This window comes from Homo sapiens, chromosome 2 (assembly GCF_000001405.40).
Source record: "Homo sapiens chromosome 2, GRCh38.p14 Primary Assembly".
NCBI classification, from domain to species: Eukaryota; Metazoa; Chordata; class Mammalia; order Primates; family Hominidae; genus Homo; species Homo sapiens.
In genome coordinates, this window is record NC_000002.12 from 196,424,494 (window position 1) to 196,437,776 (window position 13,283).

General features: G+C 37.7%; 1 protein-coding gene and 1 long non-coding RNA gene across 11 annotated transcripts in view; one reads left to right on the forward strand and one right to left on the reverse strand.

Annotated features, from left to right (window-relative positions):
• The window catches only part of HECW2 (HECT, C2 and WW domain containing E3 ubiquitin protein ligase 2), a 399,483-nt gene that overhangs the window by 230,422 nt on the left and 155,778 nt on the right, over positions 1-13,283 (reverse strand). For all 10 annotated transcript variants that reach the window (NM_001348768.2, XM_006712646.4, XM_047445197.1 and 7 more), the window contains exon 2: positions 8,639-8,965. In NM_001348768.2, coding sequence (NP_001335697.1) covers positions 8,639-8,930 — 292 coding nt within the window. In that variant the 5' untranslated portion in view covers positions 8,931-8,965. The remainder of the gene's footprint in view (positions 1-8,638; positions 8,966-13,283) is intronic.
• Positions 3,760-12,689, forward strand: LOC105373822 (uncharacterized). Its single transcript, XR_923746.4, has 3 exons — positions 3,760-3,802; positions 11,291-11,378; positions 12,576-12,689. It is a non-coding gene; the product is annotated as an uncharacterized LOC105373822 (long non-coding RNA).

Below are 13,283 nucleotides of genomic sequence, written 5' to 3' on the forward strand. Positions count from 1 at the left end.
AAAGCAAAGGAAACGTTCTTGAAGGAAATTTAAAATGCTATTCCAAAGTACATACGAATGATAAGAAAGTGAAACAGCCTTATTATTGATATGGAGAAAATTATAGGAGTCTGGAGAGAAGATCAAAATAGTCAAAATATTCTCTTAAACCAAGCCTAATCCAGAGCAAGACCCTAACCCTATTCAATTCTATGAAGGCTGAGAGAGGTAAGGAAGCTGCAGAAGAAAAGCTGGAAGCTAGGAAAGGTTGATTCATAAGTTTAAGGAAAGAAGCCATCTCTATAGCATAAAAGTACAAAGTAAAACAGCAAGTGTTGATGTAGAAGTTGCAGTAAGTTATCCAGAAGATCTAGCTAAGATCATTGATTAAGGTGGCTACACTAAACAAATGATTTTCAATGTGGGCAAAACAGCCTTCTATTGGAAGAAGATGCCATCTAGGACTTCCATAGCTAGAGGAGATGTCAATGTCTGGCTTTAAAGCTTAAAGAACAGATTGACTCTCTTGTTAGGGGCTCATACAGCTGGTGACTTTAAGTTGAAGCCAATGCTCATTTACCATTCCAGAAATCCTAGAGCCCTTAAGAATTATACTAAAGCCACTCTGTTGGCACTCTAGAAATGGAACAACAAAGCCAAAATGACAGCACATCTGTCATTTAGATTTACTGAATATTTTTACGGAATATTTTGCTGAATATTTTAAGGCCACTATTGAGACATACTGCTTGGAAAAAAAAAAAAAAACTGCGACAAGTCACCTAAGAGGTCTGATGAAGATTTACAAGGAAATTAATGTTGTTTTCATGCCTGCTAACACAACACTCATTCTGTAGCCCATGGGCCAAGGAGTAATTTTGAATTTCAAGTCTTATTATTTAAGCAATACATTTCTTAAGGCTATAGCTGCCATAGATAGGAATTTCTCTGATGAATCTGGGCAAAGTAAATTAAAAACCTTCTGGAAGGGATTCACCATTCTAGATGCCATTCACAATTCATGGGGTAGACTAAAATATCACCATTGACAGGAGTCTGGAAGAAGTTGATTCCAACCCTCATGGATGACTTTGAAGGGTTCAAGACTTCAGTGATGGAAGTCACTGTAAATGTGGTAGAAATAGCAAGAGAACTAGAATTAGAAGTGGTGCCTGAAGATGTAACTGAGTTGCTCCAATCTTATGATAAAACTTGAATGGATAAGGAGTTCCTTCTTATGGGTGAGTAAAGAAAGTGGTTTCCTGAGATAAAATCTACTCCTGATAAAGAAGCTGTGAACATTGTTAAAATTACAACAACAAAAAAAATTAGAATATTCCATAAACTGAGTTGAAAAACTAGCAGCAGGGTTTGAAAAGATTGACTCCAATTTTGAAAAAAGTTCTACTGTGGGTAAAATGCTATCAAATAGCATTCATGCTACAGAGAAATCTTTCGTGAAAGGAAGAGTCTGTCAATGTAGCAAACTTCACTACTGTCTTATTTAAACACATTGTGCAGCTACCCGAACCTTCAGCAACCACCACCCTGATCAGTCAGCAGCTATCAACATGGAGGCAAGACACTCCACCAGCAAAAACATGATGACTTACTGAAGCTCAGATGATCATTAACATTTTTTTATGATAAAGTCTTTTTAAGTTAAGGTATGTACATCAGTTTTTTTTAGACATAGTGCTACTGCACACTTAATATTTAGATTACAGTATAGTGTACACACAACTTTTATATGCACTGAGAAACCAAAAAACTGTGACTGGCTTTAATTTGCTATTCACTTCATTATGGGGATCCAGAACCGAAACCACACTATCTCTAGTTATGCCTGTATTGTTTTCCATAATGGCTGTACTAATTTACATTCCCACCTACAGTGTGTAAGGGTTCCCTTTTCTCCAAATGTCACCAACACTTGTTATCTTTTGTCTTTTTGATAACAGCCATTCTAATAGGTGTGGGGTGATATCTCATTGTGGTTTGAATTTGCATTTCCATGATAATTAGTGATGTTGATTTTTTTTTTTAATATACCTGTTGGACATTTGCTTGTCTTCTTTTGAGAAGTGTCTATTCTGGTCCTTTGTCAATTAGATAGTTTAAAGGAAAATATTAACACTATAGCCAATCATCTAAAACTGCAAAAAATCAAGAAGGTGGTGAGCAAGTACTTAACAGTTGGGAAATACGAGACTACAATTCTCAGCACAGGAAAGAAAAATGAAGACTTGGAACATAGGACACTGAAGTTCCAGCCTTGACTCTTCCCCCAACAAGCTGTAGGGTATCATCATTCTAGACCTTAGTTATTTATTTATAAAACATAAGCTTAAACTTTGGGATCTTAAAGCTCTAAGATACATGATGATAATGCTTTGGTTTACTATTGCAATCTTACTTTATTTTATTCTCCAAATGTGAAGAAATATGAAAGATGTCAAAATATATTACCATGATACTTTTTTAAGACTGACAGTCAAAATACAGTTGTTCTGCCATTCACTTTTGAAGACATAATCAATCCATAGACACTGAGAGGTCTACTTAAAGTGTGGTCCAGAGAAATGCTGGTAAATTATTTGTTACCAGTCCATGACAATGTAAGAAGCTTGAGCCAGAATCTGAAATACTTACATCAAGAAACTTCAGATGATTTTTTTTCATAGCAACATTTTCTCATCGAAGAAATCAGTATATTGATTTACATTTTGGAGAGAGCACCTTATCTGTTCACAGATCAGTAACAGTTTGCAGACCAGTACTTTGAATAACTGCTGGTACATAGCATAGTATACACTTTTACATTTTCGTTATGCAAAATTAAAAAATAAATAATTGTCTTAATGTGCACTTTCGTAGTTCTGTTAAGTACCTGAAGTTGCCTACAAATGAGAAATGGCAAATGGAGCCTTTTGAAGTGTTTGTTTTTCTTTTGAACAGCCAGAAAAATGAGCATAGGTCCAAAGGTGAAGGGGAATTAGATAGTGAGCCTGAAACAAATTTACTATCATCTACATCCTCTTTAAACTGTTTCCATCTGATTCTTCATGGAAAGCTGTTTGTGTTGGATGACCTAAGTGTCTTTGTATAAGATAAGCATTTGGTTCTTTTTATTTGGTGCACTTAGGAGGAGGCAATAAATAGCACTGTTAAATTTGTGAGGAATCAATTCTAATTTTGGAGACCAACAATAAATTATAAGCCTAGTGATTTCCGCAAACCATCTGCAAGGGATTAATTGTTGTAATTTGGAGGTTTGGGCCTATAGCTCCATTGTGATCATCTCTAGAAATCTCAGGGTGTATATGAGGCTTTCTGGAAGGAGGAAATATAATTAGCATATGTTTTGAGAACTGTGTTCACACCCAAAGTCTTCTCAAATAATGCTTTGATATTTTCAACTTTTTTCTTTGTATTTCCAATAGGGCCTATTTACTGCCTAAAAATGCCTAAAGAAGGATTTACTTTTCTGATTCACATGCATATGTTTTCCCTCCAGATTAGAAGTGCTACAAGTCATCTGGAGTGAGTTGTACAGTTCAAAACATTCTGCACAATGAGCCAAACAAAAACAAAACTCACACTTCTAGAGGGGAAGAAAATGTAAGCCAAGAGAAACACAATCAAAATGCAGAGTGTGCCAACAAGCCACACCTCGTCAGCTTGATGTTCTACTAAATTCCTTCTCCTTTGGGACTTATTTCTATAGAGACCATCTCTCTGTTCCATAACTAAAACTAGAAGTTGCTAGGAAACAGGCTTCTCAGGACACAACTGAAGGGGAGAGGCTGCTTCCTACCAAAAGGTATAGAAATCTGAAGCTATTTCTGACATACATGCTATTGTTACGAAACCTGGATTCTCAGCACATCTATTTCACAGAGCCCAAGAGAGAATTTATTATGCATGTTCCTGTTTAGCCACACAGTATTAAATTTGTGACTTAACCTGAACCTCAAAAATCTTTTCCTGTTCTAGCATGGTGTTTCCTCTTTTCTTTCACTTCCTCTCCAAATGTATCATTTTACCTACTTTCATTTAATAGTATCCAAAAAATTGTTTTGCACATTTTCATGTTATTAATTACTCATTTGAAAGATTATTCCCAACACAGTATTGGTCCTATTAAAGCACTGAAAATTTCCACATGGCTTGGAGTTACTGTGTTCAGAATTTTTATATCAAAATTGTTGTTGCTTCTTTTAAAAACAACCTGGTGGCTTTCACAGATATTAAAATAGTCCTTAACACTCTCCACGAAGTAGTAACTACCAAAGCAGCCCACTCATTCTTTATCTTGCCTTTAAAAGCAGTTGTTACCCTTTTCCCTTTCTTGTATTTCTAGCTGTGTTAGTGGCTCTATTAGGAACAACTGCAGGTACAAGAAAGCCTGCTGCTGACTTAAACCAAGAGAAGAACATTTTTTCCCACATATAACATGAACTTCAGAGTGCCAGTCCAAGATCTATTTTCTGCTCTGCCATCCATAGCTTTTTATTCTCTTGATTGATGCCTCATGATTGCTACATGGATGCAACAGCTCAAGAAATCGTGTCTTTTCACCAGAGTTCCAAGTACAAGAGAAGAGGAAGTTTAAAAGACTCTTCATGAAACTCTGGCTTTTCATTGGAAAGCAAAGTTCCCCCAAAGGTTTCCCATTAGATCTCATGGGCAAGAACCGAGTCACATGTCTACTTCTAGACTACTCAATGTTTGGATTAGCATACAAGTTTAGACCTTTCCTGAGCCTGGGGGGGGCCTACCTGCCCTGAGATTAAGGACTTACTGCTCACAATGACCCTATCAGGGTTCTGACTACAGAGCGAAGGGGGCAGAAAATGGACCCTTGTGGGGTCTGGGATGCCAGGTCCTCATCCCTCTTTCCTGCTAGGGATAGAAATCTATTAGAAAATACAGTAAGAAGTGACAACATAGATGTAAGCAATCAATTTTATTCAGTTCTTTGGAAATGGCTAGAGGGGAAAATTGAGACCTCTTATCTCCCACCCTAAATCAAATTATAAAGGAACTTCCGCTTCAGGCCTTAATGAAGTAATTAGCACCAGACTAGCTTTCCCAATGTACATAACTGTAAAATTAGAAGTAGAAGTGGTTTTCAGACATTGGAAAACAGATGGTATTAGACTATAATCTCAGAGAAAAGAGAAACTTATGAGGTGACTCTATGATCACCCAGATCTCAGATGGAGGACAATTTCCTGAGTGTAGAGCAAGAAGCTAGAGTCCATAGCAGTTCTGCTGAGCTTGGATACAGAGATCTGAGTCTGAGTCAACCGGAGTACTAGAATCTCCAGGCCAGGGCCCTGGAAAGAAAAGAGCTCTAGAAGGATGAGGGCCAGAAGTCCACAAAGGGGATCCCCTACAAATCTTGGCCAAGGTCTGGGGTGCACATGCTCAGAAAGAAATGACCAAGGCTTTATAGAGAGCAGCTTTACAGGGCTGAGAGGAAAACAGAGTGACCAGAGGTTAAGCAGTGCTGGTGAATGCTGGAGCTACAGCCCAGCCAGAGTGAAGAGACCTGGCTAGCACTCCAGGTATCCAGCTAAGACATCAGAAATGCTGCTGCTCAGGAGTAAGCAGAATGTACTAATATAAGGCCTACCATACACTGATTTTACCACAGCCCAAAAGCAAGACCTAACAAAATTCACAGGGGAGACCAAATTCGGAGGATGAATTCCATCAAGTTAGAAATAGTAGAAAAATACACTGGCCTTTCCACAGATCCAGTCTAACAAAGTGTAAAAAATCAAACCTATACAAGCTCAAAGAAATAAACCTGCTTATTAGAAAAAAAATCAACACTGTTATTCCACAGAATTCAGAATTTCTACCACATAGAATCCTTAATATCCAGTGTAAAATCAAAAAGTGCTAGCTATGCAAAGAAACCAAAAAATAAGAACCATGGTCAATGAAAAAAAAAATAGTCAATAGGAACTGATCATGAGATGGCCTAGATGTTGAAATTAGAAGACAGAATCTTTAAAGTAGCTATATTCAATTCAGTTTGAAGAACTGAACAAAAATATGATCTGAATGAGTTAACACACAAGAAATCTCATAAGAGAAATGAAAACTAGAAAAAGAGAAATGCATATTCTAGAAATGAAAAGTCAAATAACTCAAAGTTTAAAAATCCATTGGGTGGGACTGACAACAGAATGAAGACAAAAAAAGGGCAAAGTTAGTGAACTTGAAGATAGATAAATAGAAATTATCAAATTTGAATATCAAAGAGGAAAGATGTTGAAGGAAAATGAACGAGAGCCTCGGGGCCTTGCAGAACAACATGAAATGATTCTAACATATGCATAACTGGCATCTCAGAAAAAGAAGAAAAAAATAAAAACAGAAAAAATATTTGAAGAAATAGTGGCCAACATTTGTCCAAATTTCATCAAAAACATTAACTTACGAAGCTCAGAGAATATCAACTGGAATAAATAAAAAGAAAATCACACCTAAGTATAGCATAGACAAACTGCTGGAAACCAAGATAAAGAGAAAAATCTTGAAAGTAGCCAAAGGAGGGGAAAAAAGACATGTAACATACAGGGGAACAAAGACACAATGATAACTTACATGAGAAAGACACAGAAGCTTCTTGAAATAAACTGATGAAGAGTTATCATTTTTCAAAAGGGATTTATTTCCTAATTCTGCTTTCCTAGTGACAACCTTGGATTAATTCCAGACTTAGGACTCTGACCTATACTTCTTCCTCTAGAAAGTAAAATATAACAACATCAAGATTTTGTGGGTTTGGTCACTTGGAGATAAGATTCATTGCGGTTGGAATTCCTTAGTTCCTTCCTGATTAAATTTAGACAGGGAAATAAAGCAAGTGTGTGTATGGGAATCAACTTTTTAAGTGATTCTAGCAGTTTAAAGATTAAGTTATTCGTACACAAAATAAATCATCTTATATGAGAAAGTAAAACTGATTATTTCCCAAATAAATATCATAAAAGGATTTTTTAAACTACAATTTGGTATTTGTAGTCTCATATTAAGTCTTCTATTAAGATTATAAAATAAAAGCTAAAATGGTAAAAAATGAGAAAGTCTAAAGAGAAGTTATATGAAGTGCAAAAGAGTGAAATTACATTCAAATCAAAAGGGTTACATCTAAAGTCCCAACAAAACTAAGACTTTTTGTGAACATAATGATACAAATGTAATTTTTAAATTATGTATCTTCCTCAATTTGATTATATTTTAAAACACACTTAGGGAAAATGCTGTGAAGACTTTTCCCCTTTTTTGTTTACCATAAGGAAAAAAAAGAGAGATAACAATTCATTAAAGCTTTGCCCAGTTTAGATTTTTTGCTTTCCAGCATGATTAACCATTAAGAGTTATATAAGTGAATACAAATCAAATGTTTTTATTTCAGTCAATATAAAATTCTTTATCCCAGAGAAAAATAAATTTCAGTGGCTTTAACAATCTAACAAAATTTCAGCAAGAGTGTTGTTTTGCCTCAAACAGGGCTTCTCAACAGTGGTGCTATTGGCATTTGGGGCTAGATCACTGTGGAGGGAGGCTGTCCTTTACATTGTTGGATGTTTTACAGCACCCTGGCTTCATATCCCCCTACCCAGTTGTGACAACCAAAAATGTCTCCAAACCTTGCCGAATGTCCTCTAGGGGGCAAAATCTTCCCTGGCTAAGAAGTACTGCCATAAACAGATGGGTCTTTTTTTCCTCTGATTTATTCGTTAAAAAAAAAAGGGCGGCGGGGTGATGGGGGGATGCTTGGCTTACAACTTACATTGAAAGCAACAATGTCTTCCTAATATCTGATGCTAAATTTTGGAGAGAATTTTCTTCATTCAATGAAAAAGTTCTCCAACTTTGGAAAATGTTAGATTTTATTATTGGGTTGGATTTCAATTTTCTTTTTGTTTAGTTGGTAGGTTAGATTTTTGCTTTCCAATGTGGCAGACATCGTACTTTTTGGGATGTTTCATTCATCGCTCACTCAGCAAATGTAAGTTCACTAAGAACAACAAGCGTAAATTAGCTAAACAGAGCTGAACTGTTTTTATTAAAGCAAATAGCAATTATTTATAAGTCATTTGTCAGGAAAACATGACACTTCCTTCCCCTAATTGATCTAGAACAGAGTCATGAAATTTAAAAATAAAAAGACATCTTAGGCTACAAGTAGTTCTTAACAAAACTCAAATTTTAGAAAATACAGAGCTTTTAAAATATGTCATCTAAATCTACACGTCTCTTTCATCAGTTTAAAAATGTTAGTAAATGTTAATAGATATCTCTTTCTAAAATGGGACTGCTGATCAAGAGAAAGGTGAAGTTTTATTGGTGCAATTACTTTTGCATCGACCTAAGAGAAAATACTGTAACACCTGCAGGTTCTGAAGGTTCTGACATTTAATGAGGTAGAGATGTAACCACAAACTTCATAATATAAGCAAATGTACTGTTGAATCTCCTCCTCCCAAAGAAGAAAAAAAATAAATTCCCAGAATCTGCTATGTGTATATGTGCATGTGAATTTTTTTCCAGAAGAAAATACAGAATGGTAAAAATGTCAAACTAAAAACTTGTATGCTCTGAGTCACATGCAAGTCCATTCCACTTGACTCACCTATATGATAAAGTCCAATCCAATCACTGGGGTCCACCTCCTCTTTAATGTCCCAGAAGATAATGAGGTTCTGGGCTTGCCCCAGCGTGTACTCGTACATGCTGGCAGTTAAGCTGGAGCGGCTCTCAGAAGTCACCAGGTCGGTGTCGCTGTTGGCCCGCTGCAGGGTCATGTTCTCTGGCATGGAGCTCTGGGCGGCAAGGCTCTGGAGGTTCTCTGGGCTCAATGTGTACCGCATCTGGGGATTTCGACGCCTCACAAAAAGCAGGTGCTCCCGGGCTGAACTAGCCATCCCGTCTGCTTCTCTGGGATTGGCTGCCTACAAAGCTGCAAGAGACAGATAAACATAAAACATTAGTGCTACAATACGAAGAATCAGATTTAAGCTTTCCAGACATAAAGCCTTAAAGGGTGTTTAATAAGCCTGATCATGCAATAATCTTCTGTTGTCAAAATAAAACCTATTATTCTACTGTTAAATGATGATGTCAGAAACAGCTTCTATAGAGTCAAGTCACATGATGGCAAAGGCTGTCACATGCCTGCGACCCTCGATTTCACTTGGCACAGCTTTCTCCTAGCAATCAAGGAGGAGAGGATTTCCTTGCCATCCCTTTTAGGTCTATCCTTTCCCAAACACCCCACGTTCAAACATGGCATCCTCTTCTCGTTTTCCATCCCACACACATATTTATTTGCTGCTGCAATGAAATTTTAAAATAGCGAGACACATGCTAAATACAGTTGAAGTACACCATTAAGTACAAGTTCACTTGCTCAGTTTCCTTAGCATAAGAATGTAACTCACTGAAATCTTTTCAGGAGCTTGCTCAAATGTTACCTCTTCTCCTAAATACAGTGGCCATCACATTTAAAACTGCAGCACCCCAGCATTCCCCATCCCTCCTTTCTTGATTTTTCTCTATAGCAATTTTTGTGATCTAACGTACCATACAATTTACTTATTTATTTGGTTATTGTCTACTTCCCCTGACAAGAATGTAAGTTTCACAAAGGCAGGGATTTTCATCTGTTTTGTTGGCTACTTTATCCCCAGTGTCTACAACAGTGCCTGCTACACGGTACATGTCGATAAATATTTGTTAAATAACAGATGCAGGAAGAGTAAGCATCTTTCTCCTAGATACTTCTTGAAATAACTTTTATCTCCAGTCCCTTTCCTGAGCCTGCCCCTTGCCATCCTGACTTTCTGGCTGGTCCACATTATTTGGGCCATCTGGATCATGATAAGCTATTTCCTTTGGCTCCCGATAAGCTATTTCCTTTGGTTCCAAAGGAACAAGGCCTTCCCTGTTGGAACTTAGACAGCCCCTTTTTGGCTCACTGAGTCTAGTTATAAAATACTTCCAGATACAGACAGAGACTCCAGTACCTCCTGTACTTTAACGCAGCACAACTAAGGTTCTATCTACCAGCGCCTTACCTGTTTGCCATGGGTTTACATTACCTCACTCGGATCTCACTAGCTTTACATAGAATTGATCTGATTTTCTTCTGTACCATCCCTTTCAGAACTACATAATCCACTCATGAATTTATGGATTTCACATTTATTCCGCAATCTTGGTACCTGCCACCATCTTCATTATGCCATGTTTCATCTCAGGGCAAACCCTATTGGGTCCTGGGAAGTCTATGAAAAAACTTTCTGCCACTCACACTACCACTTCTCATATGATATATTTCAACACCCACTGCATGAGTTTTCATTTAAAAAACAAACAAAGTAACCTTGGGTGCAATATTTACATGACAGCTAACGACCTTGGCTACTGAGTCTGAGAGGAGGGCAAGGGAAGATAGGGTTTTTTCTCCCATCCTCCCATTGAGTTCACAGACACTTTGGATGAAGAGGACATGCTCCTGTGCTAGGTTTATAGCACTTGCAAATGTATTTATTCAAATAGTTTCTGCCATAAAGTAGATCTCATACTTTGAGCACTATCTCTTGAATGAAAATAACTTGGACAAGATATCTTTTGTGAAAAGGATAGAAATAAAAATGAACAGATAAGCTGATTTACTCAGTTCAATGGTTTTAAATCCCATATCTCTCTTCATAAAGTTGGCACTTATTTTCTGTATGTGGTCTATGGTAACTCTGATACCATAAAAGAATCCATAATTATTAGAAAATCTCCAATCTATGAAGCTTAAAATACAGGTCAACTTCTAATCTGATAGTTTCAAGAAATTTCATTTTACTGACTTTCAACAGGCCATTATTTCTTTATAAACTCAGTGAGTCATGCAGCACATCAGCTTCAGCAAGAACTATAAATAATCAACTCCTAACACATTGTAGTTGAATAAAAAATGCAGGCTGTATATAACTAAACTACTTCCCTGAAAGAAAGAAATAGGCCACAACCCTTATAGCTTAAAATCACAACAGAAGAAATACTGACAATTATTCCTCTCTAGAAAAAAGTGAAATAACATGTATGTATGCCCACATTACTGTTTTTAAATTATCTGTATTTAAGCAGAGAGACAGGTTAGCACAGCAGCTAAGAGAAAAAGCTCTGAAGCCCAACTTCTGGATTTCGGTTATATCTTTACTTTCTATCACTCTATGATCTTAGACAATTTATTTTAACTCTCTGTCCCTCTGTTTCCCCACCTATCCAGGAAGAACATAACATCTGCCTCATAGGATTTTGGAGAGAACTAAATAAATCAGTACAGATAAAACATTTCAAACAGTGTCTGGCATATAGTAAGTGCTTGGTCAAGTTTAGTTATTAATACCATTATGTGACTACATTCTACTTTAATTATATCAAGAACTGGTTTTAATACTCCCATAATTCCCACCACCCCTTCTACTTAATCAGCATCTTCAGTATTTCAAAGCATAGCGCCTAACAGAAACAAAAGAGCCTTGTAGGCAGTGAGGACCTCAGATATCTCAGAGCCCAAGCTTTGGCCCCATAACACTGACAAGAGCCATTCCCTGGTCTTCGAGCCGGGCCTGGTGGCACGCGCCTGTAATCCCAGCACTTTGGGAGGCCGACGCAGGCGGATCATGAAGTCAGGAGATTGAGACCATCCTGGCTAACATGGTGAAACCCCATCTCTACTACAAAATAGAAAAAATTAGCCAGGCGTGGTGGCGGGTGCCTGTAGTCCCAGCTACTCGGGAGGCTGAGGCAGGAGAATGGCATGAACCCAGGAGGCGGAGCTTGCAGTGAGCAGAGATTGCACCACTGGACTCCAGTCTGGGCGACAGAGCGAGACTCCATCTCAAAAAAAAAAAAAAAAAAAAAGTTGAAACTCAACTTCATCACCAGTAGTGGGTTCATCGTTCATGCAAAAATAACTGTGCTCCTCCTAAGTGAAAAGCATTAAGGATACAACAGAGCAAAAGTCAAAGTCCCTAGTTCAAAAAAGCCTGCATTCTAACAAGAAAAGACACGCAACTAAGGGCCAAAAACCAAATACATAATACATATTTGTTTTCAGTGAAAGAACAAAAAGAGCTAGAAATGTGTGAATCTGCTAGCTTAATTGCACCTGCAAAAATGTATGGAGCATCTACTACTACATGTCTACCATAAAGCTGCAGTGTATGCTAAATAGTAAAAAGAGTAAGGTTTTTTTTTTTTTCAATTTCTTTCTTTTCTTTTCCTAACATAGCCCTTTCCCTGTGGGAACTTGAAATTTTGGGGAACAAAAGCAAATATTCATATATGAGATAATTCAAGCTGGTATCAATGGCACTTTATATACATGTATAATTAGTCTTAACAAATTTGTGGGGACAATAAATGTTGTAGGGCATCTGAAAGTGATAAAAACATATTTATAATGGGCTTAACCTTTTCCAAAGCACTTTCACATCAGGTATCTCGAGTAAGCCCTCAGAATATTGTAAATTAATTCCAAGAGATAACATCATTATCTCTCTTTTCAGATGAGGAAACTGAGAAAGATTTGTGAGGCAAAAGTTTGGCTGAAGAAGACAGAAAACACTTGGTGGCAGAGGTGATATCTGAGGTGAGCCTTAAAGAATTAGAAAAAAAAAGAAACGCATGAAGAGCATTCTAATTGGAAGCATGGATACAAAGAAACTACCAAGGAAGAGTACTGGGAGGCGGAGAAGAAAAAAACAAATGTAGAGTTTCCACAGAACCCGGTGAAGATGAAGAGAATCCTGCAAAAGAAACCATGCACCAGCCGGGCGCAGTGGCTCAGGCTTATAATCCCAGCACTTTGGGAGGCTGAGGCAGTCAGATCACCTGAGGTCAGGAGTTCAAGATCAACCTGGCCAACATGGTAAAACTCTGTCTCCACTAAAAATACAAAAATTAGCTGGGCATGGTGGAACATGCCTGTAATCCCAGCTACTCAGGAGGCTGAGGCACGAGAATCGCTTGAACCAGGGAGGTAAGGGTTGCAGTGAGCCAAGATCACACCACTGCACTCCAGCCTGGGCAACAGAGTGAGACTCTGTCTCAAAAAAAAAAAAAGCACCAGCCTTGGAGGGGGTGGGTCACCACAGTGCCCACTGACGAATGCAAGCCCCAATGTGACACAGAAGATACTGAGGCTCCATGAGGTTAGGCCCATCCAGCGTCACAAAGCTGATGAGTCAGTCACATGCTTAAAAACAAAGTTAAAG